Source organism: Homo sapiens, chromosome 1, assembly GCF_000001405.40.
Source record: "Homo sapiens chromosome 1, GRCh38.p14 Primary Assembly".
Taxonomy (NCBI): Eukaryota; Metazoa; Chordata; class Mammalia; order Primates; family Hominidae; genus Homo; species Homo sapiens.
The window spans coordinates 172819067-172837356 of NC_000001.11; the positions used below are offsets into that span (position 1 = coordinate 172819067).

The following is an 18290-nucleotide window of genomic DNA, read 5'->3' on the forward strand; positions in this document are numbered from 1 at the left end:
ATGCTAAAGTCTGTAGGGGTAGTAGACCATGCACTTTTTGAGACTATTACTCATCTCTCTCATGGAGAATGTCACCCAGTGTCACTTCCCCCATTTTTTGGTGTTTTAGAGCCGACCGAGTCCTTGTCACTCATGCAGCAAGGAGCAGACTTCAGAGCCTCAGTCAGAGAAAGTGGAGGAGGAGGCATCTTGCTTTCCCTCCCCCTTTCTTTTCAGCATTTCTGCATTTAGGTGAGCCCTTCTAGCTGTGTGTCCCTTGAGGAGTGTGACAGATTTGCTTTGCCCTTTAGCTTTGTGGTGAGGAGTCTCTTGCTTATTTTAAATAATATGACAATCTTCCTGGGCTGTAGGGCTTGAGAAGATGAACTTGTCAACAGAAATGTCTGTTGGTTTCAGTTTCTGCCTATTACCCTGTGAAACCAAGGCACAGGGTAAAATTTCTCAGTTTTGTTTTCTCGTATTTCAAGGCCTTCACATTTTACCCCCAACATTTTAATGCATAAGAGAGCTTTCTATCTGAACTTTGATTTGCGCTTAAGTTTAAACTAAACGTTTTCTCTAGATTGAGGTGGATCTTGGATGAACTATCCCTTTCCTCCCCATGTGCAGTGGCATGCCTCAGTACCACAGAGCCACTTTCCCTATGGTAGGCTAGGTCAGGGGACAGAAGGCTTTTGCATTGAGCTGTGTATGCGGGACACTGGGTTAGACAAAGTTGCACAGTTTTCCTTGGGAGTCAGTCAACACATATGCATTATTCAGTCCTCTTATATGCCAGGCACTGCGTGGGTGCTGCAGACGTAAGGCCTCTCACGCCTCTAGGATCACCGACTTTTATTTTATTGTGTAGCATCTCTTGAGTCTGGGGTGCTAAGGAACATGCTTTGGGAAAGCCTGTCTAGCTTGAAGAAGATCTAATCTATTATTTGTAGAAACCCTAGGAGGTGATTGTATAATGGCTTTTTATCTTCTATTCATGGAGGCTTACTGTCTAGAAGACCTTCTGTCTAATTCGTATAATATTTAGGTTAGGCTAGCTTAGCAAGGCAACATGATTGAATACAGACAAAGGAACTATATAGTCCTGGCCCTGTTACTCCATTCCTCTGTCCCCTCCATGTGACCCACACTTCCACTAGTCTCATTGGGTCTGAGAACAAATCTGAGAGGCAGAGCAACATTAGTGGCTAAGAGCTTCAGCCTCAGACACATGTGTTCAAAATTCTTGCTGTCTTTAATTTACTGGCAGGTGCGTGTCCCTTGAGCAAATTACTTATCTCTCTCTGCCTCAGTTTGACCTCACAGGGTTATTTGCAAGAATTAGATGTGACAGAATATTTTAGAAATTATCAGTATGCTTAGCATATAGGAAATGCTTAATAAATGATAGTTACTATTATGAGAAAGTATCATGCTCCTCAGATGAGCCGAAATTTTATAGCCCATTACCCCACTCATCTGCTATTTTGGGACTTTGAACACTCGCAAATTCTCTTCATTCTCCTCTTCCTCCCCCTCATCAATACTTTGTAATTGAGCACCTACTTTGTCATGAGTCATGTGTAGTAAAAGCATTTATTTGCATTATGGCTTGTAATCCCTCATCCTTTAAGCCTCTGCTGAATTGTTTTCTTCTCAACAAAGTCTATTTTAATCAAGTTATTTAAAATTGCAAACTGCACCTCCCTGAAACTCCTCATCTCTCTCGCCATGCTCTCCTCCACTCCATAGGGCTTACTTTCTAACATATTGCATATTTACTTACTCTGTTTATTTTTTTTATTTTTTATTTATAACCCCTTTAGAATACGAGGTCCATAAAGACAGAAATATACATTTTTTTAAACTGATGCATTCTAAATTCCAATTCAGTGCCTAACACATAATGCATGCTCAGTAAGTATTTGTTCAGCAAACTGGTGAATGTCATTTATTGAGCAATAACAAAAAAATTGTGACCATAAAAACACTTATTTTACATATAAAGAAAACAATTTCTCTTAAGTTATGAAAATTGTCTAAGGTGATAGTAGGTTTTAGAGTCTGGGTTTGACTTAATCTGATTTGAGAGCCCAATCCTTGATAATTTTTCTCCACTATCCTTGCCACTTAACTACACTTGGGAGTTTTCAAGAAATGATTCCTACTTGCTCACAAAAATCTAATTCCTGTCACAACTAGATGGCAGAGCTGTGTGGTCCGTGCAATAAGGGGGAGAAGGCCTCTGACTTCTTCATGTTACTCACTTTTAGAAGGGCCCCAGAGAGGTGGTGTTTGTGCTATTACGTTTTCCAGAGTGTTACCTGAGTCTTTAGTGTTACTTTGAGCCATGAGCACATAGGCTAGACCAGGTGTGATCTGAACGCCTTTACTTTTAAAAAAAATCTTTACTTTCCTGTAACAACTAAGGTTTATAGATCACCACTCTTGTATGAATCTCTAAACAGTGTATTGTTTAGCTTTTGGGAATTTGAGTGCTAAGCATAGATCTTGCTGTGTATAGAAAGTGTAACATTGTCCCTATCGAATGACAGCTCCTGGGAGATGATAATCTAACCAGTCTCTGGGCCATGGACTGGCTTTAGTTTTCCTGAGAGTTTATAAGAGCCTCTTGGGGAAGTCAGTGGGCATGATTACAAGCAAAAAACATGAGTCAGCACACTTGGGACATCTGGTGAGGCTGATGGATGGACCAGGCTCTGGGCATGTGATAGAAATGTGGCCAAATGGAGTGGCTGCTTTTTATTTACTGCTTCTTATCTCACCACCACCTCTCTGCAGGCTTCAGGGGCAGGGCAAAGCAGAATGATTCTTTGATATGAAAGAAATGTCTTCAGCTGACCTAAGCTGAAGGGCAGGAACTTCAATCAGCAAATGGTCAAGAAAAGCCAAGGACAGGTAAGAATCTGTACCTGGACCCCTGGCATATTCTGTACTCAAGTTAAAAAGATGGCTCAGTTGACACAAGGGTCTTAGTGAAGGTGGCCCTCACCATAGTTATTTCTTGCATCACATTATGTCAATTTAGACTGGTTGGCTAGATTCCAACTTCCTGCCTGGAAGGCAAGGGTCTTTCTACCAGTGTTCTGAAAGCAGAGTTGGGGAAGACAGCAAGAGTGTGATGCATTTCCCATTCACAATGCATGGTCTCTCCCTCTTTGTGTTGGGTCAGTTACCTACGCCCACAACTGTACATGCTGTCCCCTAGATCCAGGGACCCTGTTTAGAAAACAAATCTTCAGGCCGAGCGCGGTGGCTCACGCCTGTAATCCCAGCACTTTGAGAGGCCGAGGCGGGCAGATCACGAGGTCAGGAGATCGAGATCATCCTGACTAACACGGTGAAACCCCATCTCTACTAGAAATACAAAAAATTAGCTGGGCGTGGTGGCGGGCGCCTGTAGTCCCAGCTGCTGGGGGTGCTGAGGCAGGAGAATGGCGTGAACCTGGGAAATGGAGCTTGCAGTGAGCTGAGAGCACACCACTGCACTCCAGCCTGGGTGACAGAGCAAGACTCTGTCTCAAAAAAGAAAGAAAGAAAGAAAACAAATCTTCAAATTCTACCAATGTGTGAAAGGGAAAATATGGAGAAGATAAGGGAATCTAGGCATTCTAACTGCTACTGAAAAAAGTCCTCGCTTGCTCCTCCTTATTCTAGACAGCCCTTTCACCGCAATTCCAGAGACCTAAGCCCTCAGTTCCTAAGCCTCGATTTTCTGGTGTTAATTGGGTTGGTTCTTCTCAGTTTTGTCCGCTGTCAGGATGAGATTCAGCTTTCTCAGACCTGCTAAGTTAGTTTTCACTTGCCCATCTGCTTCTAGCTCAGAGACCAAGTTGTGTTGCTTTGGCCTTTTCTCCTATTCCAACCGTTCCTGTGGATTTATGTCTTTTGAAAGATTCCTTTATTGTAGTTTATAAGGAGAAGTAAAATTAGATGCATATATTAAATTTGCCACCTTAACTAGGAACCTCTGAAAAAAATAATGTCTTTCTTTTCTTCAGAGCTCACTTCATCCTCTTCAGGAGGAGCCATCTGTTGGCTACTGGAGGAAAATATTCACAGTGTTCATTTGGATTTAAATTAGTTAAATCAGATAATTTAATCCATTCCTTTAAGTAATGCTCAGACTCCAGGAAGCAACAACAATGACAACAACAACTGTGTTCTCTATGACTGCTCCACTATTCTTTTTTTTTTTTTTTTTTTGACTGCTCACTATTCTACGTTTCTCTCAAAGATGGTATCCAGACATCTGGATAAGGAGGTCTGAGCGGAGGATTTTGGCCCTTTGGGGCCCATGTTCTCTGGACTCTGGGTGATGTTTGTGTTCACCTATTTGCTGTTTGCCTTCCTGGTATTTTGTTGTGAAGTCAGTGGCTGGTCTCTTGTTGCCCCATTTCCCTCCTGGCTTCCTCAGAACCTAGTAGTGCCCTTTTGCTGGCCTAGCTTAGCCCTGTCTCCCATTGGCTTCAGGCCCTGGGGGCTCCACTGTGTCCTCCTGCTAATTCACTGGCTCCAAGATCCACCTCAGCCCCTTCAATAAGGCCACTGCCACTGTGGATTCAGCAGCTGGTGGCTGGATCTTGACTCATCCCTGATACCCCATGGGAATCAAAGGTTACTTTGGAAAGCTGAACTTAAGAGACTCCCTCCACACTGAGCTTCCTAACTGATGTAGTCATATATCAGGTTGGTGTAATTATTCCCCAGATGCCTCAACAGGGAGCAGGGAATAAGCAGCCCTCTTGCCCTCAGTTTTACTCTAATGCATTCCCTCATCCATGGGCCAAGGCCTGGAATGGGGGCAATTGGAATACACATGGTTAAGAGTCTTGCTCTCCTGCCTTCTAATTTTCTGTGTTTTATTAAAAATTCATGGGGGAGTGGCCTTTCCTTTTATTTCCAGAGTCATGTCTTTGAGCAGCAAGACTCTCAGGGGGTTTGCCATCAGAGACCCAGGGATCTATCATCTCCACACGATGAGCCATGTCTGTGAGTTGGGTTCTTGATGTGGGGTAATAAAAGAGTTTGGAAAAACCCTCTGTCAGAATATTGGCTTCTGAATAATTCTGTTTTGTATATCAGAAACTGAATATTAGCACATTTTTTTCTCTTTGCATTTCTTTTGTAAAATATCCTGGTATTTCCCCAGAAATGAACTCCTTAGGCTGACTTAATAAAAAAAAAAAAAAGCAAAAAAGTGGGGCAGGTATAATTTTACAAGATCTTACCCACTGCAGGTGTGATGTAATCACATTGATGTAGTTTGAAAAGAATCAGAAACCCTGGGGCTGGCTAAGCATTCAGTATTTAGAAACTGTTTTGGACTATGGGACTGTGGTTACTGAAGCTGACACACTTCCAGGTTTTAGGGCAGAGAGGAACTATCTGAATATTAGCTGTGTGAAGTAGGGCCATTACTTAACAATCCTTCGTTTGTAAAGTTGGGTTGTTAAGATGACTAAATGAGAGGTTCATAAAACATTTATGCTTTAAAAGGTTTAGAAGGTGTTATCGTCATCGTTATTGACATCATTACAGTTGAGCCCTGAACAACACACAAGGGTTAGAGGTGCCAACTCCCCTGACCCTGTGCAGTTGCAAATCTGCATTTAACTTTTGACTCCCCAAAAACTTAACTATTAATAGCCTACTGTTGACTGGAAGCCTTAACTATAACATAAACAGCCATTTTGTACTGTTTTGAATTTTATATGTTATTAATATATGTATTACGTGCTATATTCTTACAATAAAGCTAGGGAACAGAAAATGTTATTAAGAAAATCATAAGGAAGACAGAATATATTTACTGTTTATTAAGTGGAACTAGATCATCATAAAGATCTTCATCTTCATTGTCTTCATGTTAAGTAGGCTGAGACCGAGGAGTTGATCTTGCTCAGGGGTGGCAGAGGTGGAAGAATATCTCTCTGTAAGTGGACCCACACAGTTCAAACCTGTATGGTTCAAGGATCAACTGTACTATTCAGAAGAAGTCCATTGCCTTGATTTGAAACATTTCAAAGCTTAGGTTATTCTAGTTTTGCTAATTTAGAGCACTTCCATTCACCAGAAGCATCTTTGGACCAGCAGATTAAAGATGCAGGGAGCAGCCAATGCCTTAAAGATTTTTAGAAATAATTAAAGACAGCATTAATGAACATATGGACAGTCTGGCTGAAGATGCCACCTTGCATAAAGGTGGCCCAAACCTTGTCAACTTTGCTCTGTTTTAACAGTTTTACATTTATTTAAAGTCTTAAGAGTTTGTGACACTTTTTGATTAAGTGTGATTAATATGAAGAGTGAAATAACTTCTGTAAATATAAGAAATCATTTTTTAACTCTTAGCTAATTCAATGGGATAAATAAAATAGTGAGCTTGATTTCTTTAACTTAAAGCAGTTATAAGGGATTAAAAGTGCCAAAAAATTTTTTAAAATACTATTGGGTTATGAACTCTTTTAGTGACTTTTATGTCTTTTTCCCTTGAAACCTTCACATTTTCTTTAATGACATCTGTTATTTTTATTATCACAAAAAAAGATAGAGAAAAGCAAAATGACAAAAGATATTATACAACTGGGTTTTATATCTTAAGATAATAAACACATTCTAATTATCACCTAAGGACTGATCCTCTGTAGGTATGCTTTCTATTTTACCAATCTGAACTTGCGGAAATTAAAACTTTTTTTGGAAATGGCTTAAATTTAAACAAAACATCATGTTAGCCTCAAGGCAGGATGTTGTTGTTAAAGATTAGTTTAGAAACACTGATCTCTGTGTATTGCTGCATTTCATCAATATTTTTTACTTAAGACAGTCTGACAGGGATGTTGTCCTTGGGTTTGAATGAACATGGAAAGATTTTGTATGTGTTTTTTGTTGTCTGCTTTATATATATATAATCACTCATAATGTATAAAATATTCATAACCAGTTAAAATATACGGAAATTTTGAAAAATTAGGCAAGTTATCTTTGCTCTCCTTATCTGCAAAATAAAGAGAGGGTTTCTAAAGTTCTTTGAGCTGTGGAATTCTCCTTCTCTGGGAACTCAACCCAGTAGCTAGCTCTAGGAGGAAGTTGAGAAAAATGCTATTCTCAAGAGTAGCCACATGGTGGTGGAATGATTCCTCACAAAAATGGTATTCAGCTTCCCTGAAAGCAAAATGATTACATCCCAAAATTGAGTTATTCAAGGATCTCAGGAGACATGTGACGAAAGAGAGGAGGCAGCTCTGCGTGCTTCTGGGTCCCAGTGAAAATAGAAACATAATGTTCCTGTACACAAAGTAGTTAGAACTCTACCAAAGGCAATTCATGCAACTTTATTTCCCTTCTGACCTCGTGTTTGAAAGATATTTTTGAGTATTAAACTGTATATTTGTAATGAAATAAAGACCCTCATTTACTGTGTGCCTCTGCAATCTGTATTCCTTTAGCCTCAGTCAGCTATTTCTTGGCCTTGCATCGCCTCTAGCTGTGCCCTAATTCTTCTCCTTTCGTTTTCAGCTAAGTAAACTGTATTCATGACTGTAATTCATTTACACTTCAACACATCACGGTTCGGAGCCTAGACTCACTTCTAAAGGTCACCAATGAACTTTGTATTGCGAAACCCAAGGATGCTTTCTCAGTCCGTATCTTACGCCCTATCTTAAAACCCTCTGGTTTAGTTTCTTGACTCCAATCTGTCCTGGCATTCCTCTTGCTTCTTTGAGTGATTTCTTTCTTGTCTTTTGGGGCTCTTCCTCTTCTGTGTGTCCAGTAACTACAATAACCCAGGTTTCTAACATTACCCCAAAGTCTCCATTTCTTTACATACTTTGCTTGAGGAATTTCATCCTTGTCATTGTTTCATTTATAACTGGAATGACAACTAATGTCAAACTTAATCTTTACCCTAGAACTCATATGTAATCTTTAGCTTGATATGTCCCAGAAGAATCTCAAACTCAACATACCTGGAACTGTCTTCATTGTTGTTCTCTGTTCACCAATGGTTCCTTTATTTCTAGCTTAATTACTGGCATAACCATCTTGTTGCCCAAACCAGAGATTAAATAATTATGTAAGACTTCTCATTGTCCTGGGCCTTCTACATCTAGGCAATCAGCAAGGTCTAATGGTTTTAGCTCATAACTATTTTTTAAATCTGTTTTCAGGCTCATCCCCAATAACGATTTCCTTACTTAGGTCCTTGTCCTCTCCTTGGAACATCGCAATCTGTAGTTTCCTTTCTCCTGACTTGCTTCCCTTAAATCTGGTCTCTACAACGTAAGGAGCATACTTTTTCTAAAAGCAAAACCCAATCATTTAACCTCCTTGTGTAAACATTTTTAATGGTTCTTCATCATTTACAGATTAGAGTACAAAGTTCTTAATATAGTTTACAAAACCCCAAATGCCTGGCTTAGTCTCTCCAGTCACTTCCCATCTCATCTCTCACCAGTTCTTGTTTCACAACATTATAGTCTAGTGCTACCAGGCTTCTAGTTCCTCACCTCCTTCCCACTGTTTATGTCTCTGCATTCATTTATTTTGTTCCCTTTGTCTCAAATTTCTTTCCCACTTTTGTCTTGGTAGCTCTTGCTCATCTTTAACATTCTTATCACAAGATGTCTCAACTAGGACTCTTTCCTTGAATCCTCAGCTAGACTAAATGCCCATCCTTCTCATTCTCACAGCATGTGTTTATCTCCATCTTAGAACTTGACAGCTTTTAATGCAATTGTATGTTTATATATTTTGTACCCTCCAATAAGCAAGAGTCCCTTAAAAAGAGAGATCACATCTATTTGTTTTTCTTGTTCCCAGTTCCTAGTCTGGGGCTTAGTGCATAATGAATATTCAATAAATTTTTGTTGAATAGAATTTAATATTTTTGCGGCTTAGAGTCCCTGAGGGTGCTCTATGAAGTCTACTCCAGTTCTAAGAAAACTAAACTGTGGTTTTAGCTGGGGCCAGCTTCCTGGAAAAGACTTGAGCTGTGCCCTGAAGAGTTAGTTTAACAGAGTTTGGACTAATAGAGAGAAGTGAGGGGTATAATCAAAGTTGGATGAGCAAAGGCACGGAGGCTTGTACAGAGGATAGTGCAGAAACAATGTTAAATGTGTTTCTGAAGTGGAATAGTGAAATATGAGTTGGGATAGGGAGAATCCAGCTCATGAGAAATCTCTACTGAGGGACTGGCAAATTGGGGGCTTATTTCCATAAGCAGAAGGAAGCACTCAAAATTCTTGAACAGAGGAATGACATTTTCAGAGCCATGCTGCAGGAAGAGTAATTCAGCACAGGGTACAAAATGAATTGAAGTGAGAAACAGATGGGAATCAGTGAGGCCAATAAAAGTTGATGGCGGTTAATTAAACAGGTGCCACTTGATGAGGCCTTAGACCAGCATGGCAGCTGCGTGAAAAAAAGGAGTTGATTTTTGAGCCACTGGAGGAAGAATTAACAGAGACTGATTGCACGTGATAATAATAGAGAGAGAAGAGTCATGACATTTTAGATAAAGCAGCAGAAAGTTGGGGATACAATTAGTAGAGAGAGAAATTATAAAGGGCAGGATGGAATGTGGGACAGCAGCTGAATTTGGTTGGAAATCTTTGTATTTGAGATGATAAAACTTCACAATATTTAATATTTAGTAGGTATGCATAAGGGGTGCTATACACATTGGAGTGGTAGATGAATGAATGAAATCTTAGAAGTATCTGTCAGTAAAATGAAACCATAGTACCAGCTTATAGAGTGGTCTGAGTTAAGGATAGTGATATCGATTTAGGAAGTATCAGCTCAGAGTTCTGAAAACTGCCGAAGTGCATTCACCTCTGAAGGGAGAGATAGAAGTGAGGTAAAACACAGAGGTGCTTCTATCTTTCAGGCAAACAGAAGAGGCACAGAAAGCCAATGAGGGCATAAGGTCAGCTAGGTACAGATTTGTTGCTATAAACCTAAATAAACTATAACTCAGTTGCTTGCTGTCTTAGCCCATTTTGTGTTGCTATTACAGACTATCACAGACTGGGTAACTTGAAAATAAATTTCTTTTTTTTCATATCATTTATTGTTATTTTTATTGTTAAAATGCCTATTGCAAAAAATTCAGAAAATATGGCAAAATAGATTCTTTTTTGTTATTATACTTTAAGTTCTGGGATACATGTGCAGAACGTGCAGATTTGTTATATAGGTATACACACACCTTGGTAGTTTGCTGCACCCATCAACCCGTCATCTACATTAGGTATTTCTCCTAATGCTCTCCCTCCCCTAGCCCCCAACCCCCCAACAGGCCCCAGTGTGTGATGTTCCCCTCCCTGTGTCCATGTGTTCTCATTAACTCCCACTTATGACTGAGAACATGCGGTGTTTAGTTTCCTGTTCCTGTGTTAGTTTGCTGAGAATGATGGCTTCCAGCTTCATCCATGTCCCTGTGAAGGACATGAACTCACCGTTTTTTATGGCTGCATAGTATTACATGGTGTATATGTGCCACATTTTCTTTATCCAGCCTATAATTGATGGGCATTTGGGTTGGTTCCAAGTCTTTGCTATTGTGAATAGTGCTGCAATAAACATATGTGTACATGTGTCTTTATAGTAGAATGATTTATAATCTTTTGAGTATGTACCCAGTAATGGGATTGCTGGGTCAAATGGTATTTCTGGTTCTAGATCCTTGAGGAATTTCCACACTGTCTTCCACAGTGGTTGAACTAATTTACACTCCCACCAACAGAGTAAAAGCATTCCTACTTCTCCACATCCTCTCCAGCATCTGTTGTTTCCTGACTTTTTAATGATTACCATTCTAACTGGCGTGATATGGTATCTCATTGTGGTTTTGATTTTCATTTCTCTAATGACTAGTAATAATGAGCTTTTTTTCATATCTTTGTTGGCTGCATAAATGTCTTCTTTTGAGAAGTGTTTGTTCATATCCTTCTCCCACTTTTTGATGGGGTTCTTTGTTTTTTTCTTGTAAATTTGTTTAAGTTCCTTGTAGATTCTGGATATTAGCCCTTTGTCAGATGGGTAGATTACAAAAATGTTCTCCCATTCTGTAGGATGCCTGTTGGAAAAGAAATGTTTTTGCCATATGGTTCTGGAGGCTGGGAAGTAGAAAAACATGGTACCTGCATCTTCCAAGGGCCTTCATGTCATGTCATTTAATGGTGGAAGGCAGAAGGACAAGTGAGGGTAAAGCAAGAAAGAGCAAGAGGGGGCCAAATTTGCTTTTATAATAACCTATTCTCATTCACTCATGAGATAATGACATTAATCCATTCATGAAGGTGGAATCCTTATGGCCTAATCACCTTTTAAGGGTCCCACCTTTTAATATCATCACAAGAGCAACTGAATTTCAACATGCATTTTGGAGGAGACATTCAAAGGACAGTGCTTGGAATAGAGCTATTTAAAACAATTAAAAAGCAAATTTCTAATCATGAAAAATATTTTAACATAGATGGTGTATAAATAGCCAGAATATATGAATGTTTCTTTAGGCCAATAAGATAAAAATGATTATTCCAATAGAAAAATGGGTGGGGGCACAGGCAGGAAATTTCTAAAACGAATATTAAAGTCTGAGAAATATGCAGAAAGGTATTCAATTTCACTGGAAAAAAGAGAATTTAAAATAATATAGTTCTGTTGCTTAGCAAATTGGAAAATTTTTAATAAAAAAATACTCATCATTAACATATGGGAAACAGGTACTTGGTGGAAAAGTAAACTCATGCAACAATTTGTTAAATTCTGGATAACAATTTGGTGATTCAGTGATTTGGTTCAGCAAGTTCTTGAAAATTATCTGAAAGCAATAATTGCTTGGCACCAACATTTAGATATAAAGATTCCTATTTCTGCTTTACATTTTAGTTATATGTCATAACATAAACTCTCTCTAGCTGATATTAGTAGTTATTAATAAAATTACTATATTCATTGAATTGTGTTTAACTTTTATCCTAAATATCATGCATTACAGTTGTCATAACTGTAACATATTTCTTATATTATGCTGCTATACATTGATTCTTTTCATTAATCAATACTTTTATTGATTAATCTATGCCATTTAGCTCTCCTGTTTTACAATTGTGCTTGCCTTCCTTCAAATTTCCTGGCCAGCGTCACTGTTGTTGAATTTCATTTTGATGTGGTAGACTGTCTGGTCTCCCCTCAGTGTTTCATGAATATCTTTTACAGTTCCTTATAGTGTCTTGCACCTTAATTGATTGTGCATGAATAGATCATTTTTATGCTTCTTTAAACTCTTAAACCCTTGAAAAAAGTAAACACAGTTCAAAAAAATTAATAAAATAAGTAAATAAACTGTCAGAAGTGCACTTAAGTTTTGTAAACTTTTAGTACTCCAAATTAAGTTAAAAATAGGTGACTTGTTTAATTTTACATGTTTTGGAAATTCTAAATCTACTTTTAAAAAATATTAAGTTAATAGAGGCTTATATGATTTCTATAAACAGTAAATAAACTCATCAACTGCCATGGTCAACATTTATAAATAAATTAGTTAACACCAGATGCTAGCATTTTCATTTGTTGGGTGATCATATGCAAATAACTTCCTTCTGACCCTTGGAAAGTAGTCCTAAGAGTTTTCTAGATAATGACAGCTAGCTAGTTAGCTAGCTAGAAACTATTTGAAAATAATGGGGGAATTGATTAAATATATTTTAAATGCATAATAAAATAAATCATGTTAGTTTTCTAACAAACATAGAATGAAGTAGGTCACTGCATTTATTAGTTTTTGCCTTTTTGATAACACTTTTGTTTCTTTGATATTGACAAGGACCAGAAGGGACATAGGAGAAGCATACCAAGTGTTCAGGTTCAGTTTAAGTTGATATGCTTCTCGTTTTTACGGAAATTGATTTTTCTCCCTAGGGCAATGGCATGTATTAATATTTAGCATAAAAAGCACTGAAAAACACAGCTTTATTATTTTGTACTGGAAAGGAGTGGAAACATATAGTCTTTCATAAATCTTATTTGAAGTGAGCCACTGTAACTTATGGAAACATGTTGTATTTCACAGATGTGCTGGGGCAGAGAAAGGATTGCAAAGCACTGATCCAGGGTTGAAAATCCTTGAGTTCTGTGCAGCTGCTGCCACTTCCTGTGATGATTCCAAGAGAAATATACTTATAGAGATCCAAGTAATGCAAAGCATGTTGTATATTTCTACAAAGCTTTTGGTATAAACACCAATAGAGTTATTTGTTGAGTTAATTAGACTCCTCTTTACCTAAGCCTCAAGCAAAGTGAACTTTGTCCCCTGTCTTTTTTCTAGCCCCCTTTGACATTGGCATCTGAATAATTTCATTCTCAAGACCAGAGGAAGCAAGTCTGAGGAGGTGCCAGTTAGAGAATGACTTCTTAGGATCCAGCACATCTGCGGTTTAACCTGTAAACCCCAGGGGAGCATCCTCAGCCACATAGAAAATGTCACCTACTTAGGCTTGAGGCTTTAATGTCTTGGTCATATCAAAAGTTCTAGTTCCTGGCACCTTAGATTTGCTTGTGTTTTTGAACTTAATCTAAAAATGATGGGTGGGGGAAATAGGAAGAGGCCAATGTGTAACAATTGTTGAGGGACAAGATGAAGGCCACATAACATGGTGATCAAGATAGCAGGCTCTGGTGTGGTACTGAACTGCCTGGGCTAAAATCCTGTTTCTGTCAATTCATAACTTAGTCAAGTTACTTAATGACTTTATGCCTCTGTTTCCTCATCTGTGAAATGGGAATTATAATATATGACTTATGAGAATTAAATTATGTAATACAGGCAAAGTACTTTTGGAATATATGAAGTACTAAATAAATGTTTGTTGTTATTATCCAGAGATACCATGTGACCATTCCATCAGAACCTCAGGTAGTAGTGTTTCTAGGAAGTGGCTACATATGTCAAAAAATTGTATGAGTATATACACAGTTTATTCAAGTAGACTTGTTTGTCCTAACCACACTCAATCAGATTTTGAGCGTGGACAGCCATTCGAGAATGTTTTGGTCTGATTGGTCAGTCTCTCCATTTAGAAAAACTACATGATATGGGCAGTTAAATTATAATCAGAAAGTTACATGGAACACATAAAATTTGATTATAAGTAGATTACCTGGGACACTCAGCTTTGGTGGTCAAATGCACTCATCATCTCTTAAAATAAATACACAGATTGGTAGATCAGGGGGTCATCTTTACTAAATAGTGAAGAAGACTTAAGGAAAATGTTGCTTTTTGGGTTTTGCTTTTCTAGATTCTAAGCAGCTTGTTTCCCTTCCATTAACAGCTTCTACTTTCAGATAGAATCAACTTTACGTTTATTCAGGCTTATTAGTTGCAACTGTACTCTACTCTTCCCTGAGTCTACATGCTATTTTCCTGATTCAATTTCGAGGTCCCCAAATCTCAGTCACACAATTACAGATACTCTTCTAGAGCAATGCTTCTCAAATTTTAATGTGTACAGAAAGTACCTGGATATCTTGTTCAAATTCAGAATCTGACTTAGTAGGTCTGGGGCGGGGCCTGAGATTCCGTATTTCTAAGCTCCAAGTGATGTCGATGCTGCTGGCCCATGGATTCACTGTGAGCAGCAAGTTTGTAAATTATCTGTGTGGATCCTAATGCCATCCATTGCCTATAAACTTTTCCTGATTTTACATTTGGGGAAAAATATAATCTCTAAGTTCTGGGAGTGCATATAGAAAGTGCAATTGGAAAGGGAAGTGGAAAGGGTGGGGGGCGTAATTTGCCATTCCACACAGGGAACTCACTTCTCTGTGTACTAATAGCAAATGGCTTACCTGATCACCTCATATGGCTATTAGGATGTTTGCCGGTGCTTTATAAACTGTGAAGAGATGCACAAAGTGACTGGCTATGCACCTCTTAATAAATCTTGCTGATTCCTGGCTACATAGATTGTCCATGTGAGAAGAAACTGGAAGCAAAACGATGACTATAATTTAGAGCATCTGTGCTTGTCTCTTAATATGGGTTTCCTTTGAAGTCACTACAGTTTTCTGTCTGTAATGTCTAAGACAGAGTGCCACTCCCAGTGAGTAAGTTTTTGTCCTTGTTTTTAGCTTCTCTGAAGGGTGACTCCCTGTCTCTGAAAAAACTGCCAAAGTGTATTTTTTTAACACCAAAATTTCTGTTTTAAGTCAGAATGTCTCAAACATATCTTCCATATTTGGTGAAAAATTGTTTTTCTTTTTCTACCTGATGGGGTAATAGAGAGACAGGTTTGCTTTATTTGCATATAGTATTTTTAGGGATTGTTGTTGAATAATAATCATAATAATGATTACCATTTTTTGAGTTCCTACATTGTACTATGAACTGCTTTGTACTTTACATACATTTGGGTTTTTTTCCTAATCATTAAAATAACCTTGAAAACTTAGGATTTTGTGTTGGTCAGGACATGTTCAACTAAGTTGCAGAAACAAAGAACTGCCAAAATTTCAGTGTTTTAGCAAAACAAATGTTGATCACCCTGTCATACAAGTCCAATGCTGGTCAGCAAAGATTCTTCATCTTACAAAACCATTATCTTAATTTGGGTCTGGGTCTTAATTTATAAAGGCGACTGAGTGATAACATGGAATGGTCAATGCCATTGGAAGAAAAGCTTATAGTTCCCCAGGTCCTCGAAGTACAGGGCACCACATAGGACCACGTGGGGAAGCACAGTCAGTCAGGAGGCAGAAGCAGGCACGAGGGGAAGGCCTGGCCCAGAGGCTTCCTCATGTTTTCTCATGGAAAGGCAAAGCAGGGCAGGCGAAGCAGCTTAGGATTGGATGATTGGAATAATGTTGGGGTGCTCTGGGCTACTAGAGGTGGGTTCTGGGCCCTAGTTTTCTGGCACCCAGCCCTGGGTGATTTAGGGCAGGGGAAATAGTGGCTCGGTATGTGAGAGTTAGATAAAGAGAGCAGTAGGAGGTATGGACTCAGAATTGTTTTGTTTGTGATTTGATTTTTATGCGGTGGTAAAAGCTGGATTGCAGGGGAGATGTAAACAGCTTTGGCCATGAGTTGGCCTGTGATTGATGGATGTCACACAGAAAAATACAGAATCTAAGAAAATACAGAAAACATCTAAACACATGGCCTCTGAGCTTACCATAGCAGAAGGAGAGAGAGTTGGAGCTCCCAATGGGATGTTTTTAGGAATTAAATCTCCCTCTTCATAGCCCAGTTCTCCTGGCTCCAAGCTCACTGCAAGGAAGGCTGAGAAATGTAGTGTTTTTCTTGTCCAGGAAAAGGAAAATGAGATGAGATTTGGTGAACACATGCTATGTTGTCTCTGCCACACTATAATTACCTCCAACTTATAAAAGAGTAAATTGTGGTTCTGATTGATTGTGACTTATCCAAAGTACTCATTTTTCAAATGGCAGAGCCAGGGCTTGAATCCAGGCATTCCAAAGTGTTCTTCTTTCCCTGTGTCACAGGACCTTTGAATTGAATACAATAATCCTGACCATATAGATAAAATAGGCTGACATCATATTTTATGGGTTCATAATTGAGAAGGAACTCCGGATTATTATTAATGTGAAGGCCATTAGACAGTTGAGCTAAGACCTTAGGATCCAGTGTGTTCAGATTAAGGTCTGACATTCAGAGCACTGAATACAAAGTAAAGTGTCTGACTTTTCAGTTACATTATCAAAAGTTGAAGATCAATAGCCAGGGGGTTTAAAACAGCTGGGTAAATAACAGTTAACAAAATTTTTAAATTTTTCTCTGAAGAGAGGTATAAAGAGCACAGTCTTATCCCTAGCGGGTACTTTTTGGTGGTGAGAGTCTGAACCACCATCCTCAGGGTCACCACCTCACATTCTTGCCAGTACTACCTTGATAACACAATGGGGAGTCACCTTCAGCTGAGCTGATGGTAAGATCAGGGAAGGTACAGTCCAACACAAGCGGTGCAGAAAGTCCCCAGTTTTTACCACAGTGAGTTCCTGGAAGCTATGTCACAAAGCAGACCATTATGAAGTGGATCATATTTTGCCAAACAAATAATGCCATACATTGGGTGAGGGATGTGCTACTGATCAAGAACTAATTCTCAATTAAGTCAAACATATAAGCAGATGATTTTTGAAAACAAGAGTATATAAACTATACAATTCTATTATAACTTTAAAACAGTAATGCCAGCCTCTAGATTTTATTAAATGGACACAAACATAGAGTTCACATTGAATCTGAATAGAATTTCAATAGAATATGTCTATAGTGCATACATCTCTACTGTTCTTTAAACATGACTGCTATTAATAATTTTATTTGCAACTTTAGAATGTAAAGTTTTGTTGATATTATCCAGATGGATCATGTCTCTTTAAGAAAATAAGAAATATAGTCTTTCTCTTGTCTTCTTCTGCCTGAGGAGGTCTGAGGTGAAATATATATATATTCATAGCTCTGTGAAGTTCCTAATATTAAGTATGCATTTTCAGAATCATTCTATGGATTTATTGAGTAGAGAGAGAGGTATACTTGGAAAATGTGCACCTGTCCACAATAGGGTCATCTGTCTACAACAAGGATTTTCTACAATAGGGAAATGGCAAGGATTGACTCTGGACTTAAAGCCAGCTCAAAAAAGATGAATAAATTCCTCCCTTAGCCTTTGCATCAATATATATGAGATGGATCTTGTTTCAATTATTGGGTCTAATTTCCTTCATAAGTCATAAAAAATGTTTCACTAACTCAAATATTTCTACAGTAAAACCATCTGCTAATAATTCAGCAATTCCACCCCTAGATATACACATAAGAGAAATGAAAGTTGTGTTCTTCAAAAAATCTGTTAGCATTACTCATAACAGCCAAACAGTGTAAGCAACCCAAATGTCCATCAATGATAAATGAATAAATAAAATGTACTATATCCATATAATGGATTATTATTTGGCCATAGAAGAAATGAAGTACTGATGCATGTTCAACACAAATGGGCCTTAGAAACATCATGCCAGCTGAAGGAAACCAGTCACAAAGGACTAAATATTGTGTGGTTCTATTTATATGAAAAGTCCAGAACAGGCAAATCTATAGAGACAGAAAGTAGGTGAGTGGTTGTCAGGGACTGGGAGATAGGGTGGGTGGAGGTTGAAATTAAGGCTATGAGATACGGGATTTCTTTCTGAGGTGACGAAAATGCTCTAAAATTTATTGGAATGACGGTTGCACAAGTTGGTGAGCCACTGAA

At 38.4% G+C, this 18290-nt stretch overlaps 1 long non-coding RNA gene across 3 annotated transcripts, besides 1 other annotated feature; it reads right to left on the reverse strand.

Moving 5' to 3' along the window:
• Positions 12 to 461: an enhancer, noted in NCBI's record as "active region_2096". NCBI's record gives its function as "activates an Ori minimal core promoter by ATAC-STARR-seq in GM12878 lymphoblastoid cells {active_cell/tissue: GM12878}" and the evidence as "EXISTENCE:reporter gene assay evidence [ECO:0000049][PMID:35858748]".
• On the reverse strand, positions 6059 to 16988 carry LOC105371618 (uncharacterized). 3 transcript variants are annotated; one of them, XR_007066734.1, is made up of 3 exons: positions 16921 to 16988; positions 16185 to 16311; positions 6059 to 6123 (listed from the first exon to the last, which is right to left on the reverse strand). It is a non-coding gene; the product is annotated as an uncharacterized LOC105371618 (long non-coding RNA). The 3 variants fall into 3 exon arrangements; XR_007066732.1 differs by lacking the exon at positions 6059 to 6123 and adding an exon at positions 12061 to 12306; XR_007066733.1 differs by lacking the exon at positions 6059 to 6123 and adding an exon at positions 13004 to 13165.
• Between the last annotated feature and the right edge of the window lie 1302 nt (positions 16989 to 18290).